Below are 17,829 nucleotides of genomic sequence, written 5' to 3'. Positions count from 1 at the left end.
GATTGGCGCGACCTGGAGTTCAGGACGCGTTTCCAAGTTCCAGTGACTCCTCCTGTTTGGGACTCGGGGGGAGAGTGCGGGGAGACAAATAAAACCTCGGGCGGCGGCGGCTGGTGGGAAGACTTGAACTTGAATCTCGAACCACTGCATCTCCGACTCTGCCCAGACTCTTCACTCCGCGGCACCCTCAAACCCCAGCCCAGGCCGGGGCGCACAAGCCAGCCAGCGCACCTGCAGTCCTCGCCCGGACGCGCCGCGCCCCCTCGGAACCAGGCTCTGCTCCGAGCAGCCTTCGCCCCTCAAGCCAGCCACAGTCCCCGCCAGGCCGGGTGGGCGTCAAGATGAAGGCGGCCCGCTTCGTGCTGCGCAGCGCTGGCTCGCTCAACGGCGCCGGCCTGGTGCCCCGAGAGGTGGAGCATTTCTCGCGCTACAGCCCGTCCCCGCTGTCCATGAAGCAGCTACTGGACTTTGGTGAGAGGGGACACAGGGCCCAAGCTGGGTCCTAGGGTTGGGGAACTGCCTTAACTTTCAGCCTTGGTAGAGGGAGGGCTAGGCTCAAGCTAAAACAACTGGGGTTCACTTTGCTGCTGAGCCCTGGAGCCTCGACGCCAGCACACCTTTCCTTTTCCTAGATTTGGTTACTTTCTGACAGGGGTGCCTCCAGGTCAAGGCCACCTGCAAGCCTGCCGACGCTGGATGGTTTGACTTCATCTGCACACTCTTCTTTCTGACCCGCTCTTCCAGTCAAAATACTTTTTGCTTTCGGTCACCGTTTAACAATGGACTGGAAACTTTATCCTCTCCTTCACAGCATAGTACTGCTTGGAGAAGTTTCTGAATAGTATTAAATAGCCTCAAATTAACAGATTTTATTCCTTAGCCACCTGGCATCCTTCCACAGGGTACATCTCTCTGCATTCCTGACAGATTTCTTTGTCTCTTTATCATTATAGTTTTCCATATATTTGCATTGTTGCTGAAAATATTTACACATTTGTTGCAGTAATCTTATAAGGAAGATTTCAAGGGTTTAAATGTGATATCACTACTCTGGAAATATCACAGCTCCCCCTCCAGCCTCTTATCCCCCAACTCCAATTCCATGTCCCCACTCATTAAAGGATGTTGTGTTGTTGACATTGTGGTGTGACCGAATCCTGCAGTCTTTTATAAATTCTAAGAACTGTGGGATATTCTTACTTCTTGGAAGTGAATCCTCTTCAAAAAGAGAAGACAATAATTCTCCTATATCTGTCACTTTTTAAAAGAAAGAAGGAAAGACGAAAGGACGAAGGGAATTAGTCAATTAAGGAGACAATCGCCCCTGAATTATCGATTAACAGTAACCCAACTGAGAGTGAAATATAATTTTATAATATATGTGTGTTCAATATTTGATAGTTAATGCTATTTAGATATATCATTTAGACACACTTTTTCTCAAAACTAAATTGATTTCATTTATTATAGGTTCAGAAAATGCATGTGAAAGAACTTCTTTTGCATTTTTGCGACAAGAATTGCCTGTGAGACTCGCCAACATTCTGAAGGAAATTGATATCCTCCCGACCCAATTAGTAAATACCTCTTCAGTGCAATTGGTTAAAAGCTGGTAAGTGGTGAACCATATTGAAGTCTCTAGTTTTGAAACAGTTACCCGGGTATGAATTCTTATACTATGTTAACATCATAATTGGAAAACAGGTGATCTGAATGGTAACTACTTTTGAAAGATGTAAGAATTTTAAAATTAATTTAGGGTAAGTTATCATTAGAGAAGTTATAAAACTATAAACAGACATTTTTACCCTGAAAAAGTAGATTACTTTATAATAAAATTTTGAGTTCTAGGAAAAATTTGAAAAAAATTGGCATGCAATTTTAATTTTCAATTATAGAAGAGCACTTTCAATAATAAAAGAGTTTGATATTGCAAAAGAAATCCTATGCCTAGAAACCAATTCACATGACTGCTATTTAGGGAAGGCCTAATCTTTGTAACTTACAAAGTGATTGACAGAGTGGGCTCTGGGTTCAAATCCTGCCTCTGTCACTTCTAGTTGTGGAATCCTTGGCAAGTGTCTTAAACTCTTTATGCCATTGAGTTATTATTCCCATCTGTTATTAAAGAGATTAAAGTATATGCCTCAGAGGGATGTTTGAGTGTAATGAAATGAGATAATCCATAAAAAAGAAAAAAAAAACCACTTAGGACAGCACTTGGCACACAGCCAGCAGTCAGTAAGTGTCAGTTGTTGTCATCTCATTTTATAAATGAAGATACTGATGCTTAGAGAAGGTAGGTAACCCAAAACAGCAAATTTTTGGGTCACAGAAGCAGGATATGCACAGGTAGCAGACATGCATGAGACCCTTATCTTAATCCACTGACTGCACAGCCTTTTGTTCATTGATTCAAGAAATACATGTATTATATACCTATAAGACAATTACAATCTAAAACATATATTCAATCTGTAGTATTTACTATTGCAGTCAAGACTTACACTCTTCTATGAATGAATGTAGTAGAAAAAAAATAAAAAGCTTTAAAAAAAGTTGTTTCTAAGTATTATTGCTAGAAGAAATGAAAATATTTGCCAAACAAAACAGTCAGGAAACTGAATACTGACCTGAAATAGTTAAAGAAACATTTTGCGTTAAATTTTAAGTTTGAAAGTCAAGGATTAAAAGTTATAGCATTTTAAATTTATATTATTTTCCAAATGTTCTGGAGGAAAGTTTTAAGTTTGAACATAATGCTTACTTTCTCTTTTCAAATTATTTGAAAAAGCTATTCTATTTTCAGCCATTTGTATCTGACTATTAATTTTAAAACTTAAAGCATACCTGTTTCTTTACAGGTATATACAGAGCCTGATGGATTTGGTGGAATTCCATGAGAAAAGCCCAGATGACCAGAAAGCATTATCAGAGTAAGCTCTATGCATTAGAATAAGTGTTTAAAACTTTGGTTCTTTCCAGATAGATTCCTAAGATATTTTTAGACCTAAATTAAAGGAATTCAGCTCTGAATAATAAATCACTACCCTCTTACACATGACAAGTTTTGGCTTGTTGGTTTTTCAGAAGCGAAGAAATATGGCATTGAAAATGATGCTGAGTGTGAAGAAATGTAGAGGACTCATTTTTGATCCCCCAGGGAGACCTATTTTTACTATAAATTTACTCCAATAATGAGATGTGTAGGAGGATTTACCATTACATAGTTTTAATACATTTCAGCGTCATTGGAGACTAAACATTTTCTTTCAGAGTAACTGATAGTTTCTAGCTACCTAAATAAGGATCTTTTCTAAATCTGACAAGAAATTTTGAAAGTTTTTTCACAATGGCATTCTAGAGTCATCTCTAGAATGATGATATTAGATATTAATCATTATTTTATAAAGAGAAGACTTAATGAATACATCTGATGAATGCATTGGTTATAAGGCTAATAGTTTTACATATAAGCTAGAAACAAAATGAGTCTGTTTGTGAAATTATCTCCTCTACTCTAGTGGAAGAATCTGTAGTGAGATTACTAATAAAGGACTAATGTTTTATCATTTGATTTGTTCAGATGGGTAATGCAAAAAAAACTTTAGCCTTCTGTGAAGTAACCTTAGGAGTATAAGTGAATGAAACGTATTTGAACTTTTACTAACCATAAATATTGTGGCTTAGCTTTGTAGATACACTCATCAAAGTTCGAAATAGACACCATAATGTAGTCCCTACAATGGCACAAGGAATCATAGAGTATAAAGATGCCTGTACAGTTGACCCAGTCACCAATCAAAATCTTCAATATTTCTTGGATCGATTTTACATGAACCGTATTTCTACTCGGATGCTGATGAACCAGCACAGTAAGTTAGCTCATCATGATCATGGTATATAGACATGGGTGTAGAATATAAGCCATACTATAACTAGATGTCTCACTAATCAGCGGGTCACATTCTCAGTGATAGTACTAATCATTATCCTGAATTTTATAACAATTTTTTTTTGTTTTTATTTTTCAACAGTTCTTATATTTAGTGACTCACAGACAGGAAACCCAAGCCACATTGGAAGCATTGATCCTAACTGTGATGTGGTAGCAGTGGTCCAAGGTATGTTCTGTATTTCTGCACTTCCCTTATTGAAAATGTACAATATATGATTGACATATCTATAATTGAGGTGACTCTGTGAATGAATTTATATTCACAGAGTGTTCCATTTATTTTATAAATGTTATCTTCAAGGTCCTTTGCTTTTGAGAGTCAGTAGTATAAACATTCCTCTAAAATATTATTTAAAAATCCAAATATAAGTGACTAACATGCCATATTTTATATGTTGTATTTAGTCTCTGAAGTGCACATATTGCTAAAACTGCAATGCAAACACTGTCTTAATTTTTCTTCAATAAAATATTAAAATATATTTTTATATACATAAACCTGTACCTTAGTGAATATTTTAGATTAGGGTAATACAGACACTGAAGATTATTTGAGAACTGTACTTGGCATAAACTCATTTCATTGTTATAAAAAACAACTTCTATTCCAGATGCCTTTGAGTGTTCAAGGATGCTCTGTGATCAGTATTATTTATCATCTCCAGAATTAAAGCTTACACAAGTGAATGGTAAGTTATAAGTAAAATATATTTTAACCTGTGGAAAATTCTGTGTTCTCCTAATATTATTGCTTTTTGTAAATATAAAGCAACTTCTGTGTTCATTTTTTCTCTTGCCTAAAGTTTGTACACATTTTTTTTGAAGACAAGGTTCTCTTTAACTATCTCAACTGGAAGGCTCCAATTCTGCCTATTCAGTTGCTAATGAGGATTCATAAAGAAGAATGTTTTGAACAAATAATATGGGATTAAAGTAGCAACTATATTCCAATATCTTAGATCAAAGAAAGATTACTTCCTATAGAATATGAGGGATAAAGAGACCAGAAGTAGGGAGGATATAGCAGTGGAAATATCCTCTTAAAGAGGTTACCCATAAGACCTGGAGACAAAAATACTTTAAATTTCACTATAAGAAATAAGCCAGTGACAGATGCATGATTCCACTTATATGAGATGTATAAAATGGTCACACTCACAGAAGCAGAGTAGAATGGTAGTTGTCAGAGGCTGTGAGGAAGGGGAAAATGGGGAGTTGCTATCCAACAGATAACGAAGTTTCAGTTATGCAACATGAATAAATCCTAGAGTTCTGCTGTTCAACATAGTGCTTATAGTTAAGGATATTGTATTGTACACTTAACATTTTGTTAAAAGGGTAGATCTCATGTTAAATGTCTCCACCCCAATACAAAAAAAATTGCACTATTGTTTTATACTACTGTTTTGGAAGCAGAACATACTTCAAAAATCTTCAGCTCAGCTGGGTTCAGTGGCATACACCTGTAATCCCAGCATTTTGAGAGGCTGAGGTGGGAGGTTTGCCTGAGCCCAGGAGTTCAAGACCAGCCTGGGCAATAAAGGGAGACACTGTCTCTACAAAAAATAAAAATTAGCCAGGCATGGTGGCACACACGTGTAGTCCCAGCTGCTCAGGAGGCTGAGGTGAGATGATCACTTGAGACCAGGAAGTCAAGGCTGCAGTGAGCCATGATTGTCCCACTGCACTCCAGCCCAAGTGACAGAGTGAGACCCTGTCTCAGACAAACAAACAAACAAACAAAATTTCAATTCTGACAAGGTCTTCCCATACTGTCTGAATGACTGAAGTGACTACATGATGAACGAAAGGCACTATTTTCACCCCTTCCCATTCTGTTCTGGTAAATAGTTGCATCTTAAAACAAAACAGTATACTTAAATTGGAATTACCTTCTCTTTTCTATTTAAAGTAAACATCTTTCTCAAGTAATATTTATACAGGAACAGTTTTTGTTTATGGTGACAGTTAAAATCAAGTTGCTCAAAGAGTAGCCTAACAGATTAGGGACAAGCAAATGTAAATAAATACCAAAAGTAGAAGAGCAAATAAAGAATGGAACGTATCTCTGAGCATAAACAGGGTTGTTGCATAATACTTGTAGATAAACTGCTCCAACTGTTGGACAAAATAAAGAGGGGATTGTGCCAGACCTTGTGTTTTCTGATTCGAACTTTGCCAAGGCCTGGAACGCTGAAGAATAATACTTTTATTTTTCTTTTCTTTCTAATTTTATTTTACTTTTTATTTTTCTTTCCAAAAAGCATTAAGAGGTTTTTGTTTGTCTGTTTCCTTTATCCTCTTGGTAAAATTTTAGCATATTTAACATATAAGATTTAATGTTTGGGTGATACAAAAAACAAGAAAAATCAGGTGTGTTATTTTACTAAATATTAAAAATATGAAAATTATAGTTAGCATTAATTTCAATATTATGCTATAAGCACAGTTTTCTCCCTTCTGTCTTAAAATACATAAAATTTTGACTCTGAAATTGTGCAGTACAAAAATGTTGAAAATAGAAATAATCCACAAAATCTAATTTATAGCACTGTTCTTCCACACTTACCCAACTTCACACATTTGTGGAGAAATACAAAAATTAATCATATGGAGCAAGGTGGTTCATGCCTATCATCCCAGCAGTTTGGGAGGCTAAGGCTGGAGGATCGCTTGAGGCCAGGAGTTTAAGACTAGCCTGGACAACATAGTAAGACCCTATCTCTACAAAAAAAAAACAATTAACAAAAGAGCATTATGTAGCAACTACAACAACATTTTGAATATAAGCCAGTAATATTTACTGTTTAAGTGGTAAGTTTCTAGGGCAGGATTTGGGGATGGGGAAGGTAGAGAATATGCCAACCCTCTTGAAGTCTAAAATGTTAATCACATGAATGTGGTGGTTTATTTTAGTGAAGTATTTGTTTACAAATTCTTAATGAATTTTATTTTTCTAGGAAAATTTCCAGACCAACCAATTCACATCGTGTATGTTCCTTCTCACCTCCATCATATGCTCTTTGAACTATTTAAGGTATGATACTTCACAATAATTGAAATTTTACCTTTTAAAAAGGTTTAACAGTTATATTTTTATCTCCTTTATTATTCGCCACAAAACAGAAGCCTCAATATCTTTTCCCAAGAATGCTTCTAGTCCTCCTAAGAGAAAGAAACTATACAGTCAATGTTTGACAAAGTACATGTAGCTCATTGTAGCATCAACACATATTTGAGAATGCATCATACAATTCATGATGTATCAATGCTTTACAGCCAAGAGGAAGTTCTTATTATTTTTTCAGGTGCCCATTAAAGAACTAGTCATTTATTCATTCATTAAGAGAGGTCATGGGGTGAATGTTTCAGTGAATGAGGCCTTGTTACCTCCACCCCCACAGGCTGGTCCTACTCCTAACTCAGCAGTTCAGGTCCAGAATTCCTGTAGGTGGTATGGCTCCATTCAGAGTCCAGAATGTGCTAAGAGCACAGTCAGTAGTTCCTTCAATCATCTACTTTAAAGTGCATATGAATCACCTGGGGACTTAGTTAAAGTGAAAATTTTGATTCAGGAAGTCTAGAGTGGGGCCTGAGATTCTCAATTTTGAATAAGCTAAGGGGTGATGCTGCTGGTCCACAATGCACACTTTGCCTAGCAGGCCTGTAGAGTTGTGCTTCTCAAACTGTAATATGCATTAGAATCGCCTGCAGGGCATGTTAAAACACAGATTCTTGGGCTCTACCCCAGAGATTTTGATTCTTCAGGTCTGAGAATGTGCATTTCTAACAAGCTCTCAAAGGATACAGATGTTACTGGTCTGAGGCAGCCAGGTGCTAAGAATCAAATCCTTTCATGCGTCCTAAGATTAAGTTAAATTAAGATCAAATTGAACTTAAACCAAAAAATAGAAAAACACCTTAAGCTTTTTGATGCTTCCCAAGAGTCCCCTGAATTGGAGAGAAGGAAGCCTAAAAAAGACAAATCTGCCTCTAATTCTGACATAACTCTTTCCAGAACTTCCTGTTTCCTAACTTATTCTAATGTTACTGCTGTGAGGTACTGACTGTACTACAAACATCTGATCTACTTTATTTCACTACAGCTAATGACTAGAACTTAATATTATTTAAAAACCAGAAAGCAGAAAGTAGACAGGTGGTGAGAAAGGAAAATGGGTTAAGAAAACCAAGACTGTATCTGTATGAGATTCAGCCAATAGACGGAAAACATCTTTTAGTTTGTTCTGTGTTAAAGGACAAAGGATACTTTTTCATTGATTTGATTTATTTTTAAGTTGAATGATACAACTCATAGAGTTATTCTGCCATCATTGGTAAAAGTTAGATGATAATCAAATGCAAATTGAAATTCAATTTAGAATTATTGACTGTCCTTTTAAATAGTAACAACCTTTTCACAGCAAGTTTTATGAAAGCCAATAAATTGGTTCAATGATTTCACTGTTCATTTGTTATATAGTAGTCTTTGGTGCTTGGATGTAAAACGTAATAGAAAGATAGAAAAGGGAGAGCTAGGAAATGGACTATAAAAACCAATTTCTACATTTAAATTAAGCTTACAAATAAGAACTTGACAGCTAGCAGAATTGGTTTCCATTAGACATTACTCCCAGGAGCTATATTACATAGTAAATGAATATTTTTCATTATACATCCTACATGACCCATTCATAAATGGCTATTTACAAAGCTGTTTTACTACTAACTTAAAAAAATAGGAACTTTGAATTACCCTCTGTGCTACTTTTATTTTAAACATAAAAAAAAAAACATTTATTGTCCCTCATTCCTCTGCCATTGAATTCCTTATGGTTTGCTTTGTTTTAGAATGCAATGCGGGCAACAGTTGAACACCAGGAAAATCAGCCTTCCCTTACACCAATAGAGGTTATTGTTGTCTTGGGAAAAGAAGACCTTACCATTAAGGTAACCATTCTCTGTTTTCCTTTTGGGTGTCTCTTGAGAGAATTAAATAGGGTCAATAGTAATAAAGCTGTCTGCTTTTTGCAATAGATAACAGTCATATATGCCAGGTGATTTTTAAATGAAGGAAAGCCATTTTTATTTAGACAAATGCACATTGTTTTTAATGTGTGGCTTTGATGACTTGTTTGTTTGTTTTAGATTTCAGACAGAGGAGGTGGTGTTCCCCTGAGAATTATTGACCGCCTCTTTAGTTATACATACTCCACTGCACCAACGCCTGTGATGGATAATTCCCGGAATGCTCCTTTGGTAAGAACAATTATATGGCTAAATTAATCTCAGCCACCTAGTTCTAAATGTAGAGCAAGGATTGCAAGGGATTATTTAGACAAGTTCATCAATTAAGTAAAATTAGACATGAAGGATATAAGAATGAATGATAAAGCAAGCTAAAAATGGTGAAACAAGGGATGTCTGATTGGAAGTAGAAGATATTTATTTAGGTTCTAGGACATTAGTATCAGTGAGGACAGTAATTTCCTGCTTGTTTGTATTTCAGTGATCACATACACTTCTTTACCTGATAACGTCTCTCTTCTCTAGGCTGGTTTTGGTTACGGCTTGCCAATTTCTCGTCTGTATGCAAAGTACTTTCAAGGAGATCTGAATCTCTACTCTTTATCAGGATATGGAACAGATGCTATCATCTACTTAAAGGTATCCCTTGAATTCAATAGCAAAATCCTGTTTCTAAAACCATTGCTCCTTTTATAGCCTTGAGTGCTATGGTCTGGAGTGAATTCCCCAAACTGAGTTAATGCAAATAATGACTACAGGTCATTCATTCTCTTCTCTTTCTGGGTGTGTGTACATTATTTAATATGATAACTTACCAAAGAGGAAGCTGGGCCATACTACCTGCCTCAAGTGAAGCAAAATTGTTTCCTAAGAAGGTTAATACATTACCAAAGTTTCAGAATGAGGACATGTTCATGTGAATTTTTTAAGGCAACTCCTTTTGGCATCTATGAGAGTAGCTGTGCTTTTATTTTACTTAGATTTGTGGGAAATATATGCTAATAATGTTCCAGCCTGAAAAAATAACAGGTATCAAGATACTCAAGTCCTTAAGCTGACCTTGTTAGAAATCCTGGGAAAGGAAAGCTGACTGTTCCAAAGCTGTCAGTGGGGTGCCAGACATTCACTGTTTGAACTTAAAAACTTGGTGCATGTTGGCTGGGCACAGTGGCTCACGCTTGTAATCCCAGCACTTTGGGAGGCCGAGGCAGGTGGATCACAAGTTCAGTGGTTCTAGACCAGCCTGGCCAACACAGTGAAACCCCGTCTCTACTAAAAATACAAAAATTAGCTGGGTGTGGTGGCGGGTGCCTGTAACCCCAGCTACTTGGGAGGCTGAGGCAAGAGAATTGCTTGAACCCGGGAGGCAGAGGTTGCAGTGAGCTGAGATCGTGCCCCTGCACTCCAGCTTGGGCAACAGAGCTAGACTCCGTCTCAAAAAAAAAAAAAAAAAACCTTGGTGCATATTTTCCTGTTTCTGGTAAAGCCTCAATTTCTTTGTTAAGATCACTGTCTTGATTCTGTTCATTTGCTGACTATTTCAACTGAAAATATAGATATTAGCAACTAAAACATTAAACTTTCAGGCTCCCATTTTTTGCACTGGAATTACTTGCCAAATGGCCTTTTCACCATCTGAAATAGTTAATGTATTCACTTCTTAAATGAGCAAAAGTCTTCAAACTATTAAGAAAGAGCCATAGACTGAGTGCAGGCACCAGTGTGCTCTTATTACTGTGTCAATTAAATGAATGTATTTGAATGTTTGGATACTTACCTCTGAATGTATTTTGAGTAATAACTTCAAGTGCAAATTATGCCATGCATAATTTCTTTGGTCTCATGTTTTTCCCCCCTTTTCTTTTAGGCTTTGTCTTCTGAGTCTATAGAAAAACTTCCAGTTTTTAACAAGTCAGCCTTCAAACATTATCAGATGAGCTCTGAGGCTGATGACTGGTGTATCCCAAGCAGGGAACCAAAGAACCTGGCAAAAGAAGTGGCCATGTGAAGAGGGACACTCAGGACACTTTACGGGATCAAAGTGGGTCTACACCAGTGCTGCTTCCTGAATGTTTGTGTGTGAACCCTTGTTTCCTCCAAAACAAACGACAGCAACGAAAACTCCTTAATCAGAACACTGATCCAATGAGGAATGGAGCTTGTTTCTGTGACCCAGGAGAACTTAGTGCAAGACTACAGGAGTTAACAGATGGCCAGCTCCTTATTTTTTAATGTAGAATAACTCCTGAGTTTATATCAAATCCTGAAGAAATAAGCCTCAGTTTTCCATCTGTTTTTGATAAGAATAAGAAAGGGAGTGAGTGTGAAGATGGTGGTTAGCAGTTTCACTAAGACTGATATTTTAGGCCTCTTGTTCACATCAAAAGATATTGGTGTCAGAATACCAGCATTTTCCTGCCATGCAAAGGATTAAAACTTAGTTTACACTATGTGGTTACAAATATATGTCAATGTACATTTTGAACATATTTATGTGCTATGGAAGGAAATGCTGGTGACTAAAATAAGGTTTACTCTGAAAGAGGAGGAATTTTATTCAAAGCATTCAAACATTTTATTCAAGTGTTTCAAAATTCAAAGCATTGTATTCAAAGTTGCAGTGAAGGCATCAACTTATGTAAAAACTCAGAAGGAAGGCTCCTCTGATAAAAACACAGCTCCTTTATTATGCTGCTTTTCTTGTTCACTTTACACACTAAGTAAACACTTATTGTCAGGTGCCTAGTCTTGAGTGAATTGTTAGATGTGCACTGAACTCGGGATGTTGGGGATTGGAGAGAGAGAATTGCCAAAGTAACAGCAAAAATATCTCTTACTTTGCTTTGTTTATAAATAAATTAGTAGATTGGAAAAACTAGTGTTAGGGAAAGAAATCACATGTTCAGAGCCTAATTCAGTAGGAAGGGCTTTTCTCTACCCTGAAATGAAGGTAATCCAAAGGCATCCATTTTCTAGGCTTAAAAGATATATTTTTGATATATTTAATTATATTCTCTACACTCCAGCATTAATATGTCTGTTTAAAAATTACTAATTCTCAAATGGCTCAAGAACATTAGAATTTAAGTACCTTTTAGAGTAATTATTTTAAGCAAATAGCCTGGACGTAAGAGATTCTCATGCCAGCATGCTTTCATTTGTCAGTTGTTGTGACTGAGAGATAATGAATGACACCTGAAATGCATATGGTATTTTTGGGAGAGTTAAGGTATAATTTGAAGGTTGGCAGACCAGTTGCGCTGATTACTCTTAGAGAAGAAGAAATGGAAAAATGAAAGAAGGCAGGAAGGAAAGAAAGGATATAGGAAGAGAGGGAAGCAGAAGGCAGGCATTTTTCTATTTTCCCCACAAATTATTTCAAAAAAAATCTGTATTTTCTGGGATATGTCATTGGCAAGAGGAAGAACTGGTGTTTTGAAAGCAGTATGGATTCTTTAAATGCCTCTCACTCTTACAAGATAGTAGGCTTTGAGATAATAAACTTACCCGTGTCAATTAACATTTAAACTGGCATATAGAAAAAAAGGAGGATTTTTCTGCATTGTAAAATAATCAGTATGGTTTATATGTTGAATTTGACATTTGTGTGTAATTTCATGGTGGCCTAGTGTTGTGGTGCTTCTGGTAATGGTAATAGAAGCTCAACTATTTTTTTGTGGATTTCAGTTTTTATCATCAGAAGTCCTAGACAGTGACATTTCTTAATGGTGGGAGTCCAGCTCATGCATTTCTGATTATACAAAACAGTTTGCAGTAGGTTATTTGTCATTTCAGTTTTTTACTGAAATTTGAGCTAAACATTTTTACATGTAAATACTTGTATTTACCAAAGATTTAAATCAGTTGATTAATTAATTAACTCAAATACTGTGAACTATCTCTAAAACACTAGAAAAAAGAAATGTTAGTATCTCAATTACACCAACTGTGCAAATGAACTTTGATAAAATAGAAATAATCTACATTGGCCTTTGTGAAATCTGGGGAAGAGCTTTAGGATTCTAGTAGATGGATACTGAATACTCAGGCCCACTTAAATTATTAATGTATACATTGTGTTTTTGTCTTTATGCTATGTACAGAGAAATGTGATAATTTTTTATAATAAATATTTTTTATGATGATAAAAGACATTGTGTTTTAAAGTTCTTTTCTCAATTTACCTCAAGGTACTAAGAATTTGAGTTACAATAACACAGTACAATGGTGTGTTTGCCTACAAATTTGTATTCAATAATCATTTTTGCAATGCATATGTTTCTGCATATTTCTGGAAATTTAAAGTTTCATTTTATGTCTGTGTTTGCATACAAACAGTGGAGTACCAAAATAATTATCTAGATAGCTTAGGTTCCCAATGACTTCTGGATTAAATGTCAGAGTAATAATAAGGTGGAAATAGGATAGAGATTACTAAGTTAAATTGTGGTATGTATTATCTTTGCTCTCTTTAGTGCTTTTCTTTACTATTTTAATCCTACTTTATCATAGACAACTTCCTTTGCCCACCTTCCTAATGACCTTACTGGCAAGGTTCTACAAATCGGGGGCTGGGGTGGGAAGGAGGGAAGGGAAGGAGGAAAATAGATTAGAATTAAATGATAATAGTGGAATGACTTTGCCATAACTAAATTATAAATCTTGTCAAAATAATCATATTTGAGTCAAAAATGCCATCAGCCTAAGGCATTAGACCCTAAAAAATCTATAGTAAGGTTGACATTTTACTGAAAAACCTTTAGTGAGGTTGACAATGAGACTCTCCATTCCCTTGACTGCCTTCATTTCTTCCACTTCTGTTGAGGAAGCACTGCACCATGTGCAGCTAAGAGGAGCGCACACCTGCACACAGGCACAAGATCTAGCTGTACAGTTTCCTTGGACTAAGCTGTCAGGGAAGTAGGGAGTTAGTGCACTCCACAGTCTGAGAACCTTCGCTCGTGTTCTCTTAATAGCTGTAAAACTTTGAATCCTACAACTCTCCATGTCTGCACATGTATCTTTTTGACTCAAGTCAATGTGTATACTCCAAAGAAAACTAATTTTCAACTTCAGTCAAGTGGGCCGAATTTCCACCAAAACTATCTTTAGACCATTTCTCTCAAATTCCACATTTGGCTAGGAGTAGTGTTTTATCTCAACTACCAATACATGTGCAAAGAAAGAGAAAGAGATCATGTGAGCTAGTAACCTGGACATCAATCTTGATAATTCCTTTATTCTCCTACTATACTTTCAGGGATGCACTTACATTTAGATGTATACCAACACTGAAAATGTGTGTGAAATCTCCTGAACATCTTGGTCTGTCCTGGTGGAAGAATTAAGAGACTTTTATAATTTCATAGGAGCCTATATAAGAAGTCACTAAGCCCTACTATGAATACCTAGAGCAGTAGGGTTCTATCTTCATTAGCATTCCATCCACAGATGTCTTTTTTTTTTTAACAGTTATCCCTTTTTTATCTTACATCACAGTTACTTACGCACTCAATAAACATTCACTGCCTAAATACATAAATGAACACATGAATAAACTTCTGGCCATAGAACAGTATCCCTGCATTTAAGGATAGGTTGGAACTCTGTGTTAAGTAATAGTACATCAAATTTTATAAGATCTCATGCTGGAAGACGTATTCAATAAGTTTTATAATATTGCAGACACTCTGAGATATGTTTCCAAACCAATTAAACTGCAACTCATTTTTGTTTAAATGTCACTTTCCTTTGGTGGCCTTTGGCTATGAAATTATTACATATATCACAAGAAATTAAATAATGGCTAACGTTATCACTTATAAGGAAATTTCTTGAGCAAATGGGCCAGGGCTTCAGATTTTATGAGTATTCTTTCTTTGTGTTTACCTTGGACTCAGATGAAAACGTATTACCATCCATACATCATGGCTCCTTAATGGAAATGAGTAACTGTCTTTTGGTGACATTTTTCAGTTCCTACCCAAGTGCAAATAAACATTAAAAGCCACTCAAAACCAGCAGAAATGTCAGTAGCCTTGAAAACATGTTGAATCTACTAAATGATGTGAAAATGATGTGAGCTGTCTTAATAATAAATCCAGCAACAAAATAATAAAGCTCATCAACGAATCATGAGACATCATTTTCATGTTTACTGCTACCATTAATGTAATGGAAATTACACATGACTGGTTGTCAAATAATGCAATATAGCTAGAAATTATTTATTAGCATACTGTTTTCCATAAATGTAAAAAGATACTTTAATATCTAAGACAAATAGTCTATTGAATGGCAAAATCTCAAGTTTTTATCCATTTCATATAGCTATGTTCTTTACTATGTTTCTACCCAAATATAGACAGATAGATAGAGTTATACATAGATATTTGGTAGAATTGCCCTTGATTCAATCTTTTTCTTTTAAGTTCATTTTTAAAGATAATGATTTTTTAATTATAAATATATTATTAAAAACAGAAATAAACTTTAAAACAAAAATATTTTATCACGTTCTCATGCAATTCTCTTTACCTTTTTGAGTTTCTATCTTCTCTTCTACCTAAATGAGCCTTGTACAAGAAAGGCATGCCAAATTCTAAAGTCTCTGAATGTAAGTTTTCTAGTAATTCTTTACTAAATACCCTGCCTCCAATCTCTCTTCAGTCTACCTGCACTATAATGCCAGATTCATTCTCCTAAACCAGCCTTCTCATAATATTACTGCCAACCTCAAAATCCCTTACTGGCTTCCCAGGGCCTAAGAATCTGAAATGTATATGATAGTTATAGTTTTATGCACTTCAACCTTACAATTTATATCTTCCATTACTGAACCATTCAGAATACTATTTTCTAAACATGTAACAAACATGTTTCTTTTTGCTCATTGGAAATATGCCTACCTGAAATACCCTTCCTCTGTGCTCTGTTTTTTACAATCTTCTGGGCCCAGGTTAAAGCTGACTTTCATGGACTGGGCATGCCAACATCTTGTAAACTCTCACATGGTCAGGACAATTTTAGTACTTAAAATTGCTAGGGGTGCTAGTTATATGTTATAGATAGGTATAAAGTCCAGAAGCCCAACTAGATTGTGTGTTCCCTGCAATCCAGGACTGTGAGTTACACATACCTAGGTAAAGACCATGACATTAAGCCTGTCTTTCATATAGCAGATATTAAAAAGCATTTCTTGATTGATATGTTTTCGATGAGTTGGGAAGACAGAGAAAAGCAATGGAATAATCTCTAATTGAGCAGTTTATTCTACTGACTTAAGACCAATGCCACCCATCTTAATACTTTTTAATGGCCCTCAGCATTTCTTTTTCAATCTGGGAAGGATTTATGCTTGTTTCCAGATGGATCATGGCTGAAACATATACACACAATAATTTAAACCTTTTATTTCAGGCTTAATACAAGGTCTTTGCCCTCAAAGAGTTCAGCATCCTATTAAAAATTTGAAGAGTCAAGATACAAACACGTAAGAACTTCAATTGTGACCAATGATTTTTATAACACTCCAAGGCAATGAGAAGATACCATAATACTATATATATATATATATATATATATATATATATATATATATATATATATAAAATAAAATATTTATACCTATATATAGAGAGAGAGCCAGGTAAATGCACTCACGTGAAATACTATCAAAAATTTAAAGAAAGAAAAGTGATTTCAGACTAAAGTGACTAGGTGAAAAGAAGACAATTTATGTACGGAAAATGGAAAGAAGAACTTTGAAGAAAGTATCTGGGGAGAAAGTTGGGAAGGTAAATGGGAGTTCAACTGAAGATAGTTTGAATGTCTGAATGTGGCACCTGGGGTATCAAGGAGATAACAGAATGGTAAAAAGATCCAAATAGCCCTGTTGAGTAAAATCTCAAGACCACGTATTTTGTTGTCAGTTCATTTACAAAATACAGTGTAGCAATTAGTACAACTTTCTGAAATGAGAATGTAATATTCAGATAACTAAAAAGAGCATTGATATACGTTGACTGATGAGTTGAAACAATGGATTTGCACCCAAGTGTCGTAGTTATCAGACATGTAGACTCTGGAGCTGGACTGCCTAGCTTTCCATCCCAGCTCTGCCACTTCATAGCTATTGGGAGTTACATAATTTCTCTCTTCCTCAGTTTTCTGATCTGTAAAATGGGAGTAGTATTACAGCCTCTTCCTTATAGGGGTGTCATGAAAATTAAAATGAGTTCATATACATAAAGTATTTATAACAGTGCTTGGCACATAAGAAATATTATATACATGGCCGGGCGCGATAACTCGTGTCTGTAATCCGAGCACTTTGGGAGGCCAAGGCGGGTGGATTACCTGAGGTCAGGAGTTCGAGACCAGCCTGGCCAGCATGGTGAAACCCTGTCTCTACTAAAAATACAAAAAATTGTCTGGGCGTGGTGGCTGGCACCTGTAATCCCAGCTACTCAGGAGGCTGAGACAGGAGAATCGCTTGAACCTGGGAGGTGGAGGTTGCAGCGAGTGAGGTCATGCCATTGCACTCTAGCCTGGGCAACAAGAGCAAAACTCTGTCTCAAAAGACAAAAAACAAAAAAAGAAAGAAAGAAAGAAAGAAAGATATACATATTAGCTATTTTATGAATAATGCTATTTAAGCATTAGAGACTGGATCCATATATTGTTCTTAAACAAATGAGTTGATTGCAATAAAAATAAAATATGATCTTTAAGATATGAAGTCACACAGTGTAAGCATGCAATGTATCAGTGATAGCAACAAATTTGTTCTAATACACCCTATTGCTTGTTTGTGACTCTTGGGTTCAGTTTTTAGGTCAAAG

The 17,829-nt window shown here is 36.0% G+C and overlaps 1 protein-coding gene across 1 annotated transcript, besides 1 other annotated feature; it reads left to right on the top strand.

Annotated features, from left to right (window-relative positions):
• PDK4 (pyruvate dehydrogenase kinase 4) lies at window positions 119-13,136 on the top strand. Its single transcript, NM_002612.4, has 11 exons — window positions 119-471; window positions 1,471-1,612; window positions 2,865-2,936; window positions 3,691-3,875; window positions 4,038-4,124; window positions 4,570-4,647; window positions 6,919-6,995; window positions 8,810-8,908; window positions 9,107-9,217; window positions 9,512-9,625; window positions 10,854-13,136. Exons 1-11 carry the CDS (start codon window positions 342-344, stop codon window positions 10,992-10,994), a joined length of 1,236 nt encoding a protein of 411 aa, NP_002603.1. The 5' UTR covers window positions 119-341; the 3' UTR covers window positions 10,995-13,136.
• Window positions 544-838: a silencer, noted in NCBI's record as "tiled region #6047; K562 Repressive non-DNase unmatched - State 20:ReprD". NCBI's record gives its function as "represses a minimal TATA promoter and a strong SV40 promoter by Sharpr-MPRA in K562 cells {active_cell/tissue: K562}" and the evidence as "EXISTENCE:reporter gene assay evidence [ECO:0000049][PMID:27701403]".

Source organism: Homo sapiens, chromosome 7, assembly GCF_000001405.40.
Source record: "Homo sapiens chromosome 7, GRCh38.p14 Primary Assembly".
NCBI classification, from domain to species: Eukaryota; Metazoa; Chordata; class Mammalia; order Primates; family Hominidae; genus Homo; species Homo sapiens.
Note: the sequence above shows the minus strand (reverse complement) of the source record. Positions and strands in the feature narration are given on the sequence as shown.